The following is a 20819-nucleotide window of genomic DNA, read 5'->3' as shown; positions in this document are numbered from 1 at the left end:
TAATGGGAGAAGAAGACTTAGACATAGGAAGTTAACTACTACAAGGAACAAAGAAATGGCATGGTATGGACAAGCAAAGTAGAGACGTTGATTGGTTTTAGACGGTATCACAGAAAGTCCATCCACAGTAACATGCAGAAAAGCAGAGTTTGCATGTATGGAAGACAGAGAGTGAGCAGTGAGAGTCTGTGGAAGACATCTCTTGATTGCTTCAATTTTTCAGTGAGGAAAAAACCAAGCTGAGAGTGGGGAAGGAGGAGGAGGCATTGGGGTATGAAAATGATCAGCCAAGGTCTGAAAGGGTCTACTTATGAACAGACACTTCTCAAAAGAAGACATACATGTGGCCAACAAGCATATGAATTAAAGCCCCACATCACTGATCATTAGAGAAATACAAATCAAATCACAATGAGATGCCATCTCACACCAGTCAGAATGGCTACTACTAAAATGTCAAAAAATAGTCCAGGTGCAGTGACTTACGCCTGTAATCCCAGCACTTTGGGAGGCAGAGGCGGGTAGATCACTTGAGGCCAGGAGTTCCAAACCAGCCCAGCCAACATTGCGAAACCCCGTCTCTACTAAAAATATAAAAAATTAGCTGGACATGGTGGTGAATGCCTGTAATCCCAGCTACTCAGTAGGCTGAGGCATGAGAATTGCTTGAACCCAGAAGGCGGAGGGTGCAGTGAGCCAAGATCATGCCACTGCACTCCAGACTCGACAACAGAGTGAGACACTGCCTTAAAAAAATCATAAAATAAAAAGTCAAGAAATAATAGATGCTGGTGAGGAAAGTGGTATGGTGATTCCTCAAAGAGCTAAAAGTAGAACTGCCATTCCACCCAGCAATCCCGTTACTAGGTATATACCCAGAGGAATATAAATCATTCTACCATAAAGACACTTGCATGCAAATGTTCACTGCAGCACCAGTCACAATAGCAAAGACATGGAATCAACCCTAATGTCTGTCAATGACAGATTGGATACAGAAAATGTGGTACATATATGCCATGGAATCCTATGCAGCCATAAAAAAGAAGTAGATCCATTATACCCACACAAAAACATAAAACAGCTTGTTTTAATAAACATTAAAATTATTTTAAGAAAGAAGTAAATTATTTCTTTTTTGGGAACATGGATGGCACTAGAGGCTATTATCCTTAGCAAACTAACACAAGAATAGAACACCAAATACCACATGTTCTCGCTTGTAAGTGGGAACTCAATGATGAGAACTCATGAACACAAAGAAGGGAACAACAGACACTGCGATCTACCTGAGGGTGGAGGGTGGGAGGAGGGAGAAAAGCAGAAAATTAACTGTTTGTATTGGATGTAATACCTGAGTGATGAAATAATCTGTACAACAAACCCCCATGGCATGAGTTCACCTATGTAACAAACCATCACATGTACCTCTGAATCTAAAAGTTTAAAAACAAACAAAATAAAATAAATTTGGAAATGATCTCCTTTGGAGAATAGCCTGTGGATATATACAGTGTGATTCCAAGCAGTCCACTTGAGGTTCACCATCACAACTTGAAGGTGATACCAGTCATAGAATTAGGTAGAAAACTGAATTTAACCAGATTGTAGGTTTTCCAACCTAGTGCAAGCAAGAAAGTTGAAAACAAGGTTGAAAATATATGCAAAGCTATTATAAGAGTGATTGATTATGAGCTTCATTCTGAGTAAGGAGGGCAATGAGGACATAATCAAATCAGGTAAGGGCCAATTAAATAACACCAGTGGAGTAAAGGATTAGAGTGGCAATGGAAGATTTCTGGACTAAGAGTAAGCTGTCTTTATAGGAAGTGAGGTAAGAATACATGAAAGTTTGACTTTTATAGGGGTGCTAATTATTGAGCAGGTCCAGTACCACTCTTGAAAGTACATGTCTGAGATAGAGTGAAGGACAAGTGAGATGAATTCAAGTGGTGTTATATGGTCTCTCTCATTCATATTATTGAGAAGCTCGGTTATTTGGAAGATTAAAGTCAACAGTTCTATAGCATATCATCCAAGGCCCTTTATGGGTTAATCCTCTACTTGCCCTAGTTTGAATTTCCACTACTCTTCCTTATGCACTCTACACTTCAGAAATTTCAAATTACCTCAGTGTCTCTGAATATTACTTTTATTTTCACTGGCTACATCTCCCACTATATTAATATTGTTCCCTCTTCCTGGAATGCTTTTTCCTTCCTTGCCTGACTGACAAACTCCATTAAGCTCAATCACCTGTAAATTTTTTCCTGATTATTGTGTGTGTGAGAGAGTGATAGATAAATACATAGGTAATAAATAGATGGATAGATAGATAATAGACAGTGTGTGTGTGTATTCTCTTATCAAACCATGAGTTCCTTGAGGAAAGAGCCAGATTACTCATGTTTGTACATTTTGTGCCTAATAGAATGGCTATGTGCCTGACACATAAAATGAATCTATCTAAAATGAATAAATGTAGAGATGAGCATTAACACAGTTTGTCTTCTTGACAAAATGTTCATACTCCAGTACCTAACTCATTTTACACCTTCACTTATGGATATTTCCATATGAAATCAAAGCCTTCTAGGTTGATTGAAAAGGGCACCTGCTGCTATTGATATAAAGAGGAAAAATAAATTGAGCTTTTTTTTTTCCTATTTCTCCATCACCCAAGTATCTTTAGATTGACATAACCTAGAATACCAAACGTTGATGGCTCCCCTCTTACATAAGCTAAGCCACACATTTACACATCGTCCTTATATGTGGGAACATCTTGTTACTGAAGTCTACACATAAGACAGCTATTTTCTTATAACAGGAAGGGCCCCATTGAATAATATTATTAGACTTTTCAAATGGAAAAATAATATTGTTAACTGAATATTGTAACTTAAAAATGATTCTGTGAATGCAGGAAGATATCTAATAACTTCTAAACGCAGCAACTAATACACATTTTGACTTAGTGCAAAGGGAGTGTGGTTTGTAAGAACCACCACTCTAGGAACCTTAAAGAGAAAAACAACTACCATCCTGGCTAACACGGTGAAACCCCGTCTCTACTAAAAATACAAAAAATTAGCCGGGCGTGGTGGCGGGCGCCTGTAGTCTCAGCTACTCGGGAGGCTGAGGCAGGAGAATGGCGTGAACCTGGGAGGCGGAGCTTGCAGTGAGCCGAGATCGTGCCACTGCATCCAGCCTGGGCGACAGAGCAAGACTCCATCTCAAAAAAAAAAAAAAGAGAAAAATAACGAAAAGAACCTGATTCAGGGCGTGTGAATCAGAGTAACCATACTGTGTAATATAACAGAAGTCTCTCCAAGACACCAGACGCACATCTAAGGAAGAAGTGTATAGCAAAATAATTATTTTGTGGTTCAGCCCTTTTCTCTTACTCAAATGTTAGATGAGGTGCTGGGTGTGCTGTCTTATCTGTTCTATTGGTCCTTCTCACAAGTTACTGAAGTGACTTTATTTGACCAGGACATTCACAAATTGCCCAGAGAACCCAGGCTTTTTGATCCACAGAGCTGTTACTTCTCTCTTTATGGATTATAAATGTAACACTATTCACACTGGGTCTTCCTGAGGGAGAATCACAAAAGGATTACAAGCTTGATTCCCTTGCAAGAAACAGCTAGCCTAGGAGATGGCAGCTCCAAACAAAATGGTAAAATCCCATCCATCCATTCTGGGAGGGAGACGGGATTGTTCCCTTGACCTTGACCCCCTTCGTGGGCAGGAACTGGAATGGCTCGTTTCACTCAGCCTCCAGTCCATGGACAAATAAGTGTTAACAGCTCAGTGAAGGGTCAGGGTGACAGCCAGTTGCACCTACACTTTTTGACACCCGAGTTCTTGTTTGGTGTCTGGAAAGAATCAGGTCACACAAACTATTTGAAGGCTAGTATATGTGGAGGATTTCACTGGGTGTTAAAAGTGGGTCTCAGAAGGATGGGGAATTGGAAAGGAGATGGTGCAGAAGGTGATCTTTCCCTGAAGCCGCACCATCTGAAGATAACCCAGTGTATCCATAGCCTCCGATGCTCAGCAGTGTGTATCCCCACCGTTCAGCAGCTTGCATCCCCAAACTCTTACATTAGCCGCTTCTATTGCTCTTTTTCTTGTTTGTTTCTGCCAACTGGTCTGGTTTTTAAGGGCACAGGATATAGGACGGGGCAGGCCAAAAAGGTAATCATTTGGGAGGAAAAATGGGGTCAGCTGTTTTCACCTAGCGCCAAAGTTCCAGGCTTGAGGGTGGGGTTTAGCCAGGAGCCCCTGTTCTGTATCAGGAGGAACACTAGAATCCCACAAACAAGCAGAGAAGCTTCACTCTTCATTTCTCTTCCTCTGTCAGTAGAAAGAAGCCTTGAGTGAGCGCTTGAAAAGTCTCCCAGAATAAAACCTTTAGAAATGTATACAAATAGTGATGAGTGTATGTGTTTATGTGTGGGATATCTATCAATAAATAACTGAACAGAAAAGTATAAAGAAAATCATGAGGGACAAACATGGTTATGCCCATGAATTGAAGCTGCAACTGGCTGAGGGATTCTGCTCATCTCAATAACCAAGAAAACCACACGTGGGGACAGGCAAAAAAGCCTTGGGGAATTGTTGTGAAGAATTCCACATATACTATTCTTCTTTTTGGAGAAAAATGGGGCCTCACTCTGTTGCCCAGGCTGGAGTGCAGTGGTGCAATCACAGCTCATTGAAGCCTAGACCTCCTGGCCTCAGCTTCTCTTGCAATCCTCTTGCCTCAGCTTCTCAAAGTGCTGGGATTAAAGGCTTGAGCCACTGCACCTGGCCAACCACACATATCATTTAGATGAAAACACAATAAAAGAGTGAAAGAGAAAAAAATATTCCCACTGATAGAGGATGCCCACAAACATTGTTTGCCTATTTTAGCCTGGGCTTTGGTCCAAAAAAATCTCCTGGAAACTTACAAGCACAATGGGCCTGCAGCTTAAATTTCAAGTATGATCTGGGAATTCCTACCTCAAGACATCAACAGCAAATGCAGCCTGAGGTGCTGAGATACCTGTAGCAACCAAAAAGCACAGACTGAAACACAACAAAACCAAACCAAAACAAAAAAAAAAGCTCTCTCTTAAACTCCCTCTTCAGACTTCAACACAACATGAGTGTGAATATGGAAAACTAGAATTCAACCAGCTGATCCAAAACTAGTAGAAAGAAATATTCAAGTACAGACAGTAGAACTATCAGATATAGACTATCTGATTATATAGAGATAATACAGTGACTCCAAAATGAGTAAAATATAAAAGAATTAATCAAACACATAAAAATCCCAGATTAGTAGACTATAAAAATAAAGATACATGTAAATAAAGTAGAAATTTGAATATTAAAAGATATTTAGTAATTGCAGTCAAAAACTGAGTGAACTAGTCAATTAAATAAAGCTGTAAAGAAAATCAGTAAATTTGAATATTAATCAGAGAAAAATCACTTACAATTTGCAGAAAATATAAACAGACATGGAATATATGAGAGTACAATATGTAAGTTAAAATAGGAAATAGAATGTATGGCTAATATAAAGTTTTTAAACTGAAAAAGAATGAGGAAAAACTTATATTTAAAAGTATTATCTTGGAGAATTTTCCTTACATAGAAAAAATATATAATTCTTAGATTCAGTAGTACAAAATATCCCATAAAAAGTAAAATTTTTTAGATCCACAGATAATTAGGTAAACATTAACCAGAAGAAGAAAAACAGTAAAACAGAGGACCTTAATAGGTAAGGCAAACTACTTTCAAAGGACTGATTTTTAGATTAAGGGCAGACTACTAAAGAGCTAAAACAAAATATAAAGACAATGAATGTACTGAGAAAGAAAAGTTCAGTTCGATATCTATACCCAGCTAAGCAAAAGGGCTGTATTTTCAAACTAAGAGAGAAAAAATAAAAATAAAAGACTGGTGCTTATCCATAAAAGAATTCCAGCCCAGTGTGGTGGCTCACGCTTGTAATCCTAGCACTTTGGGAGGCTGAGGCGGGCAGATCGTCTGAGCTTAGGAGTTCGAGATCAGCCTGGGCAACATGACAAAACCCCTTCTCTACAAAAAATACAAAAATTAGCCAGGCATGGTGGTGCACGCCTGTGGTCCCAACTATTCGGGAGGCTGAGGTGGAAGAATTACTTGAGCCCAGGTGGAGGCTGCAGTGAGCCAAGATGTTGCCACTGCACTCCAGCTTGGGTGACAGAGAAAGACCCAGTCTCAAAAAAAAGAAAAAAAAAGAATTCTTTGTAATAAAGCATATATTTCAGGTATAAGGAATTTGAACCTTATAAAGAACGTCTGAAATACAGAAAGGAATGGTGAGCAAAGAAGTTACTGAAGTGGTAGATAAGACTTTAACAAGTATTAACTATATAACAGCAGCAGCAGTATAAACAAAAATTATTAATAATGGGTTTTTTGTAAACATAGAAAAAGACAAATTCAATTATATTATATCAATTACCTGTGAGACAAGAAAGAAGTTTTCAGAGGTAATGCAGTTAAAACTCTTTTAATATAGGGAGGGTAGACATATACATTAATGTTAGAAATTTTTAAGGCAAATAGACATGCAACAATTTTATGGTTAACCTCTAACAGAAAAACAGAAAATACAATTTCTAAAGAAGTAAGCTTTCTTTGGTATTGTGTATTCCAATACTAAATAGGGAAGAAAATGAAAAAAAAAAGAAACAGAGAAAACAGTTGGGTGGATGCAAATCAAAATTAAATATTAAAAATAAATGCAAACATACTAGCATTTACAATGAATATAAATACATAAATTGGACTAAATTTAAAAGCAGAGATTGAGTGCGTTTTTTTAGACTAGTAATGTGAAACAATATATGCCAGGTAAATATTAACTAAATGAAATCTGGTATGGAGATATTAATCAGACCTAATACATTGTAGTACACAATAATTAAGAGGAAGAAATATAGTTATTATGCAATGATAACTTTTTTTTCTCAATCAGCAGGTAGATACTATAACCTCAAAATACATGAGAAAAATATGAAAGAATTACAAGGTGAACAGAAAATTCAACATCGTAGTTGAAAGGATATTTCATGATATTTCTTTCTATAATTCTTTTAAAAATTATGAAATATTTGAACATAAATAACTGATGAGATAATTATATATACACAAATATATATAAAGCAAACAATTAGACAATTTCTTTTCAAAAATATATAGAAACATTTGGAAGTTAAGCTAAAGCAAACAATTAGACAATTTCTTTTCAAAAATATATAGAAAACATTTGGAAGTTAAGCAGCATACCTTTAAATAATTATGGGCCAAAGAACAAATCATAAGAAGGAACATTAGAAAATATTTTGAAATATAAAAACACACTGCCAAACCTGTAAAATGCAGCTAAATCAGGACTTAAAGGGAAATTTACAGTCTTAAGTGCTTTATTTTAGAAAACAAGAAAGACCAAAGTCAAAAGACACACACACACAAATATCTAGAAATGAAAGAACAAATTAATTCTAAAATAGGTAGAGGAAGGAAGCAGTAAGAGCAGAAATCAATGAAATAGAAAATGGGCAAACAATAGAAAAAAATCAATGAAACAATTAAAGGTTTACTATTTAGAAAGATCAGCAAACCTGATAAGCCTTAGCCAGGACAACCAAGAAAAAAAAGAGAAAAAAACAAATTACCACTATCAAGATAATACAGTACTAGCATAAGGATAGACAATATAGGTCAATGGAGCAGGACAGGGCATTCAAATAAAGCATCGTTTATGTGAGGGACCCTCACATAAAGCATCATTGACTCTCAACAATGCTGCTAAGAGAATTTAATAGGAAAAGGGTAGCTTTTTCAGCGACTGCTGCTGGAACAACTGAAGAATATTTTTTAGTTAAACCTTAATTGAATCTCACCACACCTAAGAATTAATTTTAAATGAATCAGAGACAAATATAAAAGCCAAAGCTATAAAATGTCTTTTAAAAAGTGAAAAACTCATTGCAACTTTGGGTCAGGCAATCATGTCTTCTAAAAAATACAAAGAGCACCAACCAGAAAAGGAAAATAGTAATAAATTTCACTTCATTAACTTTTAAACTTCTACTTTTCAAAATATGCCCTTTAGTAAGTGAAAAACAAGACGCATATTGGAAAAGATATTTATGTATTTAAGCAAGGTCTTGAACCAAGCATATAAGAATTCTTACAACGCAATAATAGGAAGACAAGCAATCCAATTAAAAACGGGCAAAGGATTTATACAAACACTTCACCAAAGAAGCTATATGAATAACAAATCAGCACATGAAAACACACACATCTTTCTTTATTCAATGAATGCAATTAAAACCATATTTGAGTACCACTACACACCCACTTGAATGGCTAAAAATAAAAAGATGTGAGGAAACTGGAATTCTTATATTTTGTGTGTGGGTATGTTAAAGGCTATAACTGTTGGAGAAACACTTTGGCAATTTCTTGTAAATTTAAACATACACTTGGATAAGATCTTGCTATTCCATTTCTTGGTGTTACCCAAGAGAAGTGAAAACATTTGTATACAAAAAAAAGACATGTAGGACGGGGCGTGGTGGCTCACACCGGTAATCCCAGCACTTTGGGAGGTCGAGGCAGGCGGATCACCTGAGGTTGGGAGTTCGAGACCAGCTTGACCAACATGGAGAAACCCCATCTCTACTAAAAATACAAAAAATTAGCCAGGCGTGGTGGTGCATGCCTGTAATCCCAGCTACTCTGGAGGCTGAGGCAAGAGAATCGCTTGAACCCGGGAGGCAGAGGTTGCAGTGAGCCGAGATTGTGCCATTGCACTCTAACCTGGGTGACAGGAGCGAAACTCTGTTTCAAAAAAAAAAAAAAAAAAAAAAGACATGTATACAAATGTTCATAGCAGTTTTACTCGTAACAGCCCAGAACTAAAAACATCCCAAGTGACCATAAACTGAAGAATGGATAAAAGTTGCGTATGCGCATACAGTAGAATGCTACTTGGGAATAAAAGTAACAAACTACTGATGCATAGAACATGAATGAACAAAACTAGTATGCTGAGCTAAAGGGGAGGGTGGAGGCCAGGGGCAGTGGCTCACGCCTGTAATCCCAACACTTTGGGAGGCCGAGGTGGGTGGGCCACCTGAGATCAGGAGTTCAAGACCAGCCTGGCCAACGTGGTGAAACCCCCTCTCTACTAAAAATACAAAAATTAGCCAGGCATGGTGGCATGTGTCTGTAATCCCAGGTACTCAGGAGGCTGAGGCACAAGAATCGCTTGTGCCTCAACCTCCACCGGAAGGTGGAGGTTGCAGTGAGCGAAGATTGAGCCACTGCACCCCAGCTTGGGCAACAGAGCAAGACTCTGTGTCAAAAAAGAGAGAGAGAGAGAGAGAGAGAGAGAGAGAAAAGGGTGGAAAGTGGGAAGAGGGAGACAATCAGGAAAAATAACTAGTGGATACTAGTCTTAATAGGATAAAATAATCTGAATAACAAATCCCATGACACACATTTACCTATGTAACAAACCTGCACATGTACCCCTGAACTTAAAAGTTAAAAAAGAAGCCAGATGCAAACGAAACCATACCATACTCCATTACGTGAAGTCCTAGAACAGACAAAACTAAATCATGGTGATTGAAATGGGGTGGTTCCCAGGGCAGAGTGTTGAGGAGATCACTACAAAGTAGCTTGAGGGACCATTTGTGGTAATCGTGGAGTCCTGATAAAATAAGTAACCAAGGAGGACGTGCCCGAGGTTGGAAAGAACAATTGCTCTAAGAGACAGCTAATCACAACCACCCACTCGTACAACAATCCTGTTCCCAAATACCTTGCTCCACACATAGGCCCAGCAGCACAACCTCGTTCTACACACAGCTCCTCAGCACCACCCTCCAGCCCCTGCCGCTTTTAGCAGACAGCCCCTTCGCTGCTGTGCTGCCTGTTGCACCCTTGGATGTATCTTTGTACTTTCTCTAATAAATCTACCTTTCTTTACCCACAACTGTGTCAGTAAATTCTTTTACCCCCTGCAACGCCGGCCCCAGCCAGCCACGTACTCTCTCCCGTACTCTTCCCATTTCCTCTTTTCCAACTGCAACCTCTCAGCGGACAGCGTCCAAGTCTGGAGACAACTGATGGTCCCGGACAGGGGCTACTCCCCAGCGGGCCAGAATGTCCTAGTGGAAAGACAGCTGACTGCCACCACCTGATTGGGTGAGAGTTTAGAGTTTTCCTTTCAGTTGTCCAGTGGACAATCTCTAGTATCCCTCTGGCAACTGAAGGCAATGGGCCAGGGCCACTCCCTGGTGTAGCCTGATGGCCAGGGGATGAACAGGTTTGGCTGCCTTCCCCGGAAAGGAGGAAGGTTCTCTCCTCCTTATTCTGGTCAAAAGTCCCCAGTCCCTACATGTGATGCATCTGGAGGCAGAAGCTCAAACAGGACAAATCCACACATGTTCTGGGGAACTCAGACCCCATCTTTCTCACTCTAAATTCTCCTATGAAGACAGCCAGCCACCATGCTCTGGATGTCTTAAGTCAGGTGATCTCAAACTGCACCAGGACAGTGAGTCTTCCCGCAACCTTTTATCCTCGTACCTGGATTGGTCACTCAACATAATTCATACCTGAACTGACCTGGGGTTGCTCACCCACTGTTCATTCAGTGTAAGGTTCTAACACCGAGAGATCCTTTCTAATAGGGGGGATGCCCCTTTGGAAAGTGCATCTTGGAGTCTGTCAGTGGATGTGAGTGGATCCCTTTTCCCTTGGCCAGATTGCCTGAGACAAATTGCAGTACATGTCCCCAGCAGACGTTCTTTCCCATTCCCACCATGGGGTGAAGCCCCTCTATTCCCTTAGACTCGCCCCAGGGTTGCATTTTAAAGCAGCAAGGAGGACGGGGTCCCAGGTGGGGAAGGACAATTGTTCTGAGAGACAGCTAATCAGAGACAACCCACTAGCACAATCCTATTAAAATTCTAAAATGTAATTGTGATGGTTAATACTGAGTGTCAACTTGATTGGATTGAAGGATGCAAAGTATTGCTCCTGGGTGTGTCTGTGAGGGTGTTGCCAAAGGAGATTGACATTTGATTCAGTGGGCTGTGAGGGACAGACCCACCCTCAATCTTGGAGGGCGTCATCTAATCAGCTGCCAGCGTGGCTAGAATAAAGCAGGCAGACGTTGAAAGAGCAGACTTGCTGAGTTTTCCAGACTTCATCTTTCTCCAGCGCTGAATGCTCCTGGCCCTTGAACATCAGACTCCAAGTTCTTCAGCTTTTGCACTCTTGGACCTACACCAGTGATTTGCCAGGGGCTCTCAGGCCTTTGGCCACAGACTGAAGGCTGCACTGTTGGCTTCTCTACTTTTGAGGTTTGGGGACTCGGACTGGCTTCCTTCCTCCTCAGCTTGCAGACGGCCTATTGTGGGACTTCACCTTGTGATCGTGTGAGTCAATACTCCTTAATAAACTCCCCCTCATATATACATCTAGCCTGTTAGTTCTGTCCCTCTAGAGAACCCTGACTAATACAATTATAGTAATGAAAACTTCAAGGTCCAAAAAGAGCCAAGATATTCCTAAAGAAGAATAATAGTGGAGAGAGAGGGGGGTTGATACCTAAGAACTGTATTACAAAATCCTACTAGTAATAATGTGGAATTTGTGCAAGGATAAATAAGAAGGAACGGAAAGTGCTCCGAAGTGTAGCCATGCATTTGTGGAAACCTGATCTAAGATAGAGTGCTTGCAAATCAGTGGGAAAATGAAGACTTTTTCAATACATTGTTCTGGGACAATTGGTTATTCATATGGAAAATAAACAGAATGAAATTAAGTCCGTACTTCAAACCATACACAAAAGCAAACTCCAGGTACATTAAAGATACATATGTGAAAAGCATTTCTGTAAAAGTTTTGAGAATAGAGTATGCAAGATTATCTTTTGATTTTAAGATGAGAAGGGATTTTTTATACAAGAGGAAAATGAACGAAACATAATACACAATATTAAGCAATTTCTGTACAACAAAGTTCAGCATACACAAAGTAGGAAAGAAATGATAAGCTGGGCCAGATGCAGTGGCTCATACCTGTAATCCCGGCACTTTGGGTGGCTGAGATGGGTGGATCATTTGAGTCCAGGGGTTCAAGACCAGCCTGGGCAACATGGTGAAACCCCGTCTCTACAAAAAATACAAAAAAAATTGTATTTTTGGTGGTCCCAGCTACTCAGGAGGCTGAGGTGGGAGGATCAGCACCTAAGCCTGAAAGGTGGAGGCTGCAGTGAGCCAAGATAACGCCACTGCACTCCAGCCTGGGTGACAGAGTGAGACCCCATCAAAAAAAAAGAAGAAGAAGAAATGACAAACTGAAAAAGACATTTACGATCTATGTAACCAAAAAAGAATAAGTAATCAATACGTTGAAGGAATTCCTTTGAATTGATAAGAAAAAATGGCCAGGCACAGTGGCTCATGCCTGTAATCCCAGCACTTTGGGAGGCCGAGGCAGGCGGATCACCAGGTCAGGAGATCGAGACCAACCTGGCCAACATAGTGAAACCCCATCTCTACTAAAAATACAAAATAAATTAGCCAGGCGTGGTGGCAGGCCCCTGTAGCCTTAGCTACTTGGGAGGCCGAAGCAGGAGAATTGCCTGAACCCAGGAGGCAGAGGTTGCAGTGAGCCGAGATCGTGCCATAGCACTCCAGCCTGGGTGACACAGTGAGACTCTGTCTCAAAAAAAAAAAAAAAAAAAAAAAGGCAAAAAATGAATAGCCAATTCACAGAAAGCAAAATGTCTATCAAGGATATGGAAAGTTTCCAAAACTCATTAGTAACCATAAAAGTGCTAATTATAAAATTAATGAGCTATGTAGACCTCTTAGCACAGCCAGCAATGCGTCAGTCTCGTAAAAGTGAAACATTGTTTTATTATTTTTTTAATTTGCCAATGTTTAAGTTTGACAAGATTTTCAAAATCTTTTTGATTCAAAACCCTTCATAGGTTGACATTACCAAGTGCTGACAAAAATGTGAGGCAATATGAACTCTTACAAACAGCTGATACGAGTGTAAATTAGTACAACCATTTCAGAGAAATATCTGAATATAGAACTTCACACCCATTTATACACAACATATAAACAAGGAACATACTCAAGAGCATTCACTGAAACAGTGTTGGTAAGAGCAACACATATGCATGAGTCTTCCTTGAAGGAAAGTGAAGCATAGGGACGTGGGTGACATTAATAGGGTCACTCAGATAATAACTGGTGGAACCATAAGTCAAACCCAGAAGTCTGACCCTACAGTCTCCATACTAACCATGCCACTGACCTGTAGTATATAAATACTCACTAGCCATTAAAAAGAATTATCCAACTTTGTGTTTACTAAGATGAAATGAGCTCCAATGTATACCATTACATAATCAATGCTAATGAATGCAAATAATCTAACAGAATCTACAGATAACACATTACAACTAATAAGTAAATATAGAAAATTTGCTGGTGACAAGGTCAATATATGAAAATTGTTTTTATTTCTATACACCAGCAACAACAATTACAAAATGAAATTTTAAAAAGATACCAGTTATAAGCACACAAAAAGTCAAATACATGGAAGTAAACTTAAAAATATATAATAATTCAAAGAAATTAACAAATCTGCCAGGACTGGTGGCTCATGCCTGTAATCCCAGCTACTTGGGAGGCTCAGGCAGGAGGACTGCTGGAGGCCAGAAGTTCAAGACCAGCTTGGGCAACATAGCATGATCCTATCTCTAATAAAAACAAGAAGAAAAAGAAAAAGAAATTACCCAGGTGTGGTGGCATTCGCCTGTAATCCCAGCTACTCTGGTTGCTGAGGTAGGAGGATGGCTTGGGCCCAGGAGTTCAAGGCTACTGTGAGCTATGATCATACCATTGCACTCCAGCCAGGGCAACAGAGCAAGACCCTGTTTCTAAAACAAAGGCAGAAAGAAAAGAAGTTTACAAATCTTAAATCCTAAATGAGTGTGTGTATAAATACATAGATATACCCATAAAAGATTAATAATTCAAATACAGTAACATTTTAAAATTCTACTTATCAGAAGACATCACTGAGAATATAAATGAAACCATGTAACAAGAAAAGACACTTGCAACACATATAAACAGCAAATTATTTGTATCTAGAATAAATAATCCCTTCAAATCAATAAGAAATGACACATAACTCAATCATAAAATGGGCAAAAAGAATATCCTTTCACAGAAAGGGATACAAATAACTACTAATGTGGAAGGTACTCACCCTCATTATTAATCTGGCAAATTTGAAATAAAATCTCAATGAGACACTATTAACCATGCATTATAAGGGCTAAAATTATGAAAGACTTACAACTACGTTTTGGTTGAGCATGTTAAGTAATAATAGGAACTCTCATCCAGGGCTCATGGGTATGCAAATTGGTACAATCACTTTGCAAAAACAGTACTTACTAAAGTTGATGTATAACCCAGCTATTCCACTCCTAGCATCTACTGAACAGCACTGCATGGACGTATGCACCTAAAGACACTTTCAAAATATTCATAGCAGCTTAATGTATTATAGCCTCAAACTGAAAACAGAAATCATCCACATTGAAGTGAGCAAATTACCAGGGGGACACTGACGTTAATGAAATACCATAGAGCAATAAAATGCACTACAGACAGCTATACTCACAAACATAATCTCACCAACAGAATTTTGAACCAAAATAGCCAGACACAAAAGAATATAATTCCAGTTATATAAACTTCAGAAATAGGCACACACAAAAAAATGATCTATGGTATTAAAACTCAGGAACGAGGAGAGAGAAGTGACTTATTGCAAGAGGCGCCAGGGCAGTAGTTTGGGGATGTGGCCATGTTCTATTTCTTGACCTGGGATGTGATTATGTTGGTGTTAGCTTTGATAGTTCTTTGGATTGTACATTTATATTTTGTCTACTTTTATATATGTTTATCATTCTTCAATAAAAAAATGTAAGAAAACAATATTCAAGACAGAATGTGTATTTTTCATATTGTCTGCCTGCATGTGCGTAGCTTATCTTTTTTTTTTTTTTTTTTTTTGATGGAGTCTCGCTCTGTCACCGAGGCTGGAGTGCAGTGGCACAATCTCAGCTCACTGCAAGCTCCGCCTCTCAGGTTCATGCCATTCTCTTGCCTCAGCCTCCCAAGTAGCTAGGACTACAGGCGTCCACCACCACGCCCGGCTAATTTTTTGTATTTTTAGTAGAGATGGGGTTTCACCATGTTAGCCAGGATGGTCTCCATCTCCTGTCCTCGTGATCCACCCACCCTGGCCTCCCAAAGTGCTGGGATTACAGGCGTGAGCCACTGCACCCGGACAGCGTAGTTTATCTAGATGTACAGTCAAACACTGTTTAATGATGGGGATACATTCTGAGTACGGCATCATTAGCCATTTTCCTCATAGTGTGACTATCATAGGCTGTACTCACACGGACTGAGTTGGTACAGCCTACTACACACCTAGGCTGTGTGGTATAGCCTATTGCTCCTAGGCTACAAACCTGTACAGCCTGTTACTATAATGAATACTATCAGCAACTGGAACAAAATGGTAAGTATTTGCATAGCCTAAACCTGACTAACCATAGAAAAGGTACAATAAAAATATAGTATAAAAGACAAAAATAGTATAGCTGTATAGGGCACTTGCCATGAATGAAGCTTGTGGGACTGAAAGTTGCTCTGGGTGAGTCAGTGAAAGTGGTGAGTGACTGTGAAAACCTAGGACATTACTGTACACTACTGTAGAATTTATAAACACTGTACACTTAGGCTATAGTTAATTTATAAAACAAAAATTTATTTCTTTAATAAAAAAGTAAACTTATCTTACTGTAACTTTTTTACTTTATAAACTTTTTAATGTTTTACCTTTTTGACTCCTGTAATAACAAAGCTTAAAACAAACACATTGTACCACTATACAAAATATTTTCTTTCTTTATTCTTTATATTCTTATTCTATAAGCTTTTTCTATTTTTAAATTTTTTGTTTTAATTTTTCACTTTTTAAATGTCTTTGTTAAAAACAAAGACACAAACACACAAATTAGCCTATGCCTACACAGGGTCAGGATCATCAATATCACTGTCTTTACCTCCACATCTTGTCCCACTGGAAGGTCTTCAGGGGCAACAAGAAGCATGGAGCTGTCATCTCCTAGGATACTAACGCCTTCTTAAGGAATACCTCCTTGTCTTTGTTTTGTGTTGCTATAAAGAAAAACCTGAGGCTGGGTCATTTATAAAAAAGAGGTTTATTTGGCTCGTGGTTCTGCAGGCTGTGCAAGAGGCATGGCGTCAGCATCAGCCTGCTTCCACTCATAGTGGAAGGCGAAAGGGAGCTGGTGTGTGCAGAGATCATATGGTGAGAGAGGAAGCGAGAGGAGGTATGGAGGCCTCAGTCTCTTTTTTTTGTTTGTTTTTTTTGTTTGTTTGTTTTTGAGATGGAGTCTCGCTCTGTTGCCAGGCTAGAGTGCAGTGGCGCGATCTCGGCTCACTGCAACCTCCGCCTCCTGGGTTCAAGCCATTCTCCTGCCTCAGCCTCCCGAGTAGCTGGGACTACAGGTGAGCGCAACCACACCCAGCTAATTTTTGTACTTTTAGTAGAGACGGGGTTCACCATGTTGGCTAGAATGGTCTCGATCTCTTGACCTCATGATCCGCCCCCCTCGGCCTCCCAAAGTGCTGGGATTACAGGCATGAGCCACCGTGCCTGGCTGTCAGTCTCTTTTTAACAACCAACTCTCATGGGAACTAATAGGCTGCGAACTCACTCACTCCCGTGACCCGTCCCCATGACCCGAATTCAAACGTTTCCCATTAGGCCCCACCTCCAACGTTGGGAATAAATTTTCAAGGTGAGATTGGGAGAGAACAAACATCAAAACTATAGCACTCCTGAAGGATCTGCCCGAGACTATTTTACAGTTCAGTTGTTTAATACTCAGGAGAGTGCACTTTAAAATAACAATAAAAAGTATAGTATAGTAAATACATAAACCAGTATCATTATCAAGTATTATGTACTGTACATAATGTGTGTGCTATACTTTTTATGCAAATGGCTTGTTTACACAAGCATCACCACAAATACATGAGTGATGACTGCATTGTGCTAAGATATTAGGATAGCTAGGACATCACTAGGCAATAGGGATTTCTCAACTCCATTATAATCTTATTGGACCATCTCATATACGTGGTATGTCAATGTTATATGGTGCATGAATGTATTACATAACTAATAATAGTGACATTTGAGAATAATAAAGACGAGGGACAGGGCTGGAAGGATGTAGTGGATACTAGATATTTTTGGCTGTCCAATGTGTTTGAAAATTATCCCTACATTTAGGCGATTTCTCACTTTGTATTTCAAGCTACAAAGCTTGCCTGTCCAGATTTAATGGTCATATTATGTTAGTTTCCAATTCAGACTCTCCAATCATCTTGGAGAATCCTTTAGGTATCTTAGATACCTAAAATTCATCCCTTTTCTCTGTTAAGAACCAGAGTGGTGTCTGTTTTGTGTTGGGGGAAATAGTATTAAAAACAAAATCTCCTACCAACCCAGAAAAACTTGCTATATAGGTAGAAGAGAAAGAAGACAATTTTATCGTCGAATGAGCATTAAACCAGAATGTGATGTGCATTCCACAAAATCTGCTAAGGGATTGCAAAAACAGAAGGAAACCTCACCCGTTTATATAGCCAAGTCCTCAAGTTAGAGGACTTGACAGCACCATTTGTCACATGTAATTCATCCTAAATTCACTCGATATTTGGGATGATCATTTGTGTGACTTAATTGGATTTATCCAATTGAGAAGTAAACTCGTCTTTATGACAAGAGGTAGTTTTGCAACTTGGAGTGAGATGTTCAGTGGAGTTAGGCTCCTACCCTCCCACAGAAACTGGGAGGTGGGGTGCTTTTTTGCTTAATAATTAAATTTAAAAGAGGTGATTCCTGGTCCTTGAGAAAGACATTTCTGCATTGTAAAGCTGGTCAGAAGCTTATTTAGCTTTAAAAAATTTTTCCATACATTTCAGAGACCAAGAAATGACATAATTACAAGTTTCCTAAAGTAAACGCTCTAAGAAAAGGTAAGGGAGACATTCTCTTGCTTTTAAGAGGGGAATTAAGCTTCTAACTTCAATTTTTATTTGTCCTTACATTAGCAACTTAAAAACCTGGTGAATGAAGAGATAAACTATATTTAATAATATAACCTCTTACACATTTTGAATTTTTTTACTATGCCCATATATTATCACGTATATACATATATTTCTATTTGTACATTTGTATATACACATATATAAGTATATGTGTGTATTTTTTTAAGAGAAAACTAAAGTAGAAATGCTCATTCAGTTCAGAGATATGGAGAGTTAAAAAAACTCAGTTTAATTATTTCCAGTGCAATACCTATTAGTACTGCAACTATTTTCTCCATTCAAATGGCAATACTGAATCAGGCTAAATTCCTAGTAGCAATTCAGAGGTAAATTAATACTTGTTAATTCAACAAAGTGCTGTAATGAATCACAGGGTTGAAGGGTGGCGGTGGGGGTTGGGGGCAGGGATTTGGATTTGTGGCTGCAATAGCACCTCCAATTTTGTCATCACTGTGTTTAAACAGCATTTTAATATTTTGAAACTCAGCATCTCCATTTAAAAAATACAGTAAGTCTAATTGCCAGCCTCATCAGGGTCTTACCTGGTTGATTAAACCTTATTGAAAGGTCTAGCGGGGGATTTCCAAGCTACTCGGTTGTCTAATAAGCTTGTATTAAGTGATTCCTCTCACAGTACAAGCAATTCAGAGACATAAGGGACCTAGTTAGGGCATAGTATTAAAGTGTCTGGTGAGTTTCTTAATTAAAAAAAAGAATCTACAATAAGTCAAGATATTAATAATTGTTTAAAACACCACCCTTACTTCACTTAAAAAAAGCTAATAATCTATACATGAATTTTGAATATTTTTATGGCTATGTATTTTATTAATAATTATTTTCAAACAAATATAAAATAGCATGTGAAATATAGTTCTTCACCCGGGGTCACCAAAATCCTGATAAAAATAAGAGTGAAGCAAGTGAGACATAAACGAATTTTTTTATTCTTGCCTTTACCTATGATGGCATTTAAACAATACCAAAAAAAGTTTTCATGGAAAACACCCTACATCATGGCCATCCATTATGCCAAATTAAATATATGTAAATTTGCTTTTCCTATTTCTCATGTGAAATATCCCAATATGCCCCAGTATCCAGGCTCATCTAAATCGTAAAACCCTTAAAAAGTCAGATTAAATTCCACCTCTTCTTTTTTTTTTTTTTTTGAGACGGAGTCTCGCTCTGTCACCCAGGCTGGAGTGCAGTGGCTCAATCTCGGCTCACTGCAACCTCCGCCTCCCGGGTTCAAGCAATTCTCTGCCTCAGCCTCCCGAGTAGCTGGGATTATAGGCACCCACCACCACAACCGGCTAATTTTTGTATTTTTAGTAGAGTCGGGATTTCACCATCTTGGCCAGGCTGGTCTTGAACTCCTGACCTCGTGATCCATCTGCCTCGGCGTCGCAATGTGCTGGGATTACAGGCATGAGCAACCGCGCCCGGCCCAAATTCAACCTCTTCTAAGTAAATATCTATACTTTGTCCAACTCATAGGACTTGTTCTCCAAAATGACACACAATCATTAGTCTAAACCTCACAATTTAGAAATCATTGCCCATGGTCTGGCACTATTCTATAACTGTTTTATTTTCCAGAATAGATTTTAAGTTCCTAGAAGCCTTTTCTCAATCATCTGTTCACAGGTAAACTATTCCAAATTGATGGAATCCTTCAAACACCATGATGATATTCTTATTAAGCCTCTTACATCCTCTGCATTCTTCTCATGTTGGATTCTAATACCCGCCTTAGGAATGCTGGTCCCTATTCTATTGATTGTAATTTCATGCTTGTTTTTAGAGTTGGAGCAAACACTAGGGTCAAATTCAGCTTTTGAATTTCATCTTATTTTCACTTCCATAGGTAGTAATTTATTCACATTCATTTCTCATTTGGAGTTTTTTGTTGTTTGCTTATTTTCCTATTGCAGTTTGTTTTTCTTTCCCAGGAATATTTATTCTTAGTGAACCTCAGATAGTTATTTTATTATTGTGGTTCCAGTTTCCAAGGGTCATTTTATACTCATTCTATTGCTAAAATTCACCTCTTATGAAATGTCACAGGGAAGAAGAGTTTGAATGGGTAAAACAGATAGAAGACAAAGTACCAGGATCAGATTAAATGCATTTAAGAAATCTGAAGAAATTCAAGGGAAAAACAGAAAAAAGTATTAGCAAAAACACATAACCTGCCATTGTGAGGGGTGACTGTGGCAAGGCACTTGAAATTGCCAAGAGAATTACCAGTCATGTCTCAGCCCTGCCTCCTGTGGTTGTCAAAATAAGGGTCCAGGACAGCTAGACTGCTGCACCCTTTCAGCAAACAGTAGAATCTGTTCAAGCAGTGTATCTATACCCTAGGCCTGAATCTGAATATGGTCTTGATTCTGTAAGTCTGTTCCTGAACTCAGTCTCCCCCTCCACCCCTTGCTCCAAGCTTCAGCAGACAATCAGATTTCAATCCCTCACTCT

At 38.9% G+C, this 20819-nt stretch overlaps 1 long non-coding RNA gene across 14 annotated transcripts in view; it reads right to left on the bottom strand.

The window, feature by feature from the left end:
• Positions 1-20819, bottom strand: part of AGA-DT (AGA divergent transcript) — a 255397-nt gene that overhangs the window by 60205 nt on the left and 174373 nt on the right. For 11 of the 14 annotated variants that reach the window (NR_183786.1, NR_183777.1, NR_183778.1 and 8 more), the window contains one exon: positions 13904-14047. The exons of 2 other annotated variants lie outside the window; for them this stretch is intronic. This is a non-coding gene — a long non-coding RNA (AGA divergent transcript). Of the gene's footprint in view, positions 1-12987; positions 14048-20819 lie in introns of those variants that run through there. One more of the 14 variants, NR_183790.1, reaches the window with a different exon arrangement.

This window comes from Homo sapiens, chromosome 4 (assembly GCF_000001405.40).
Source record: "Homo sapiens chromosome 4, GRCh38.p14 Primary Assembly".
Classification (NCBI taxonomy): Eukaryota; Metazoa; Chordata; class Mammalia; order Primates; family Hominidae; genus Homo; species Homo sapiens.
The sequence above is the reverse complement of the archived record's forward strand: the minus strand, read 5'-3'. Positions and strand labels throughout refer to the sequence as shown.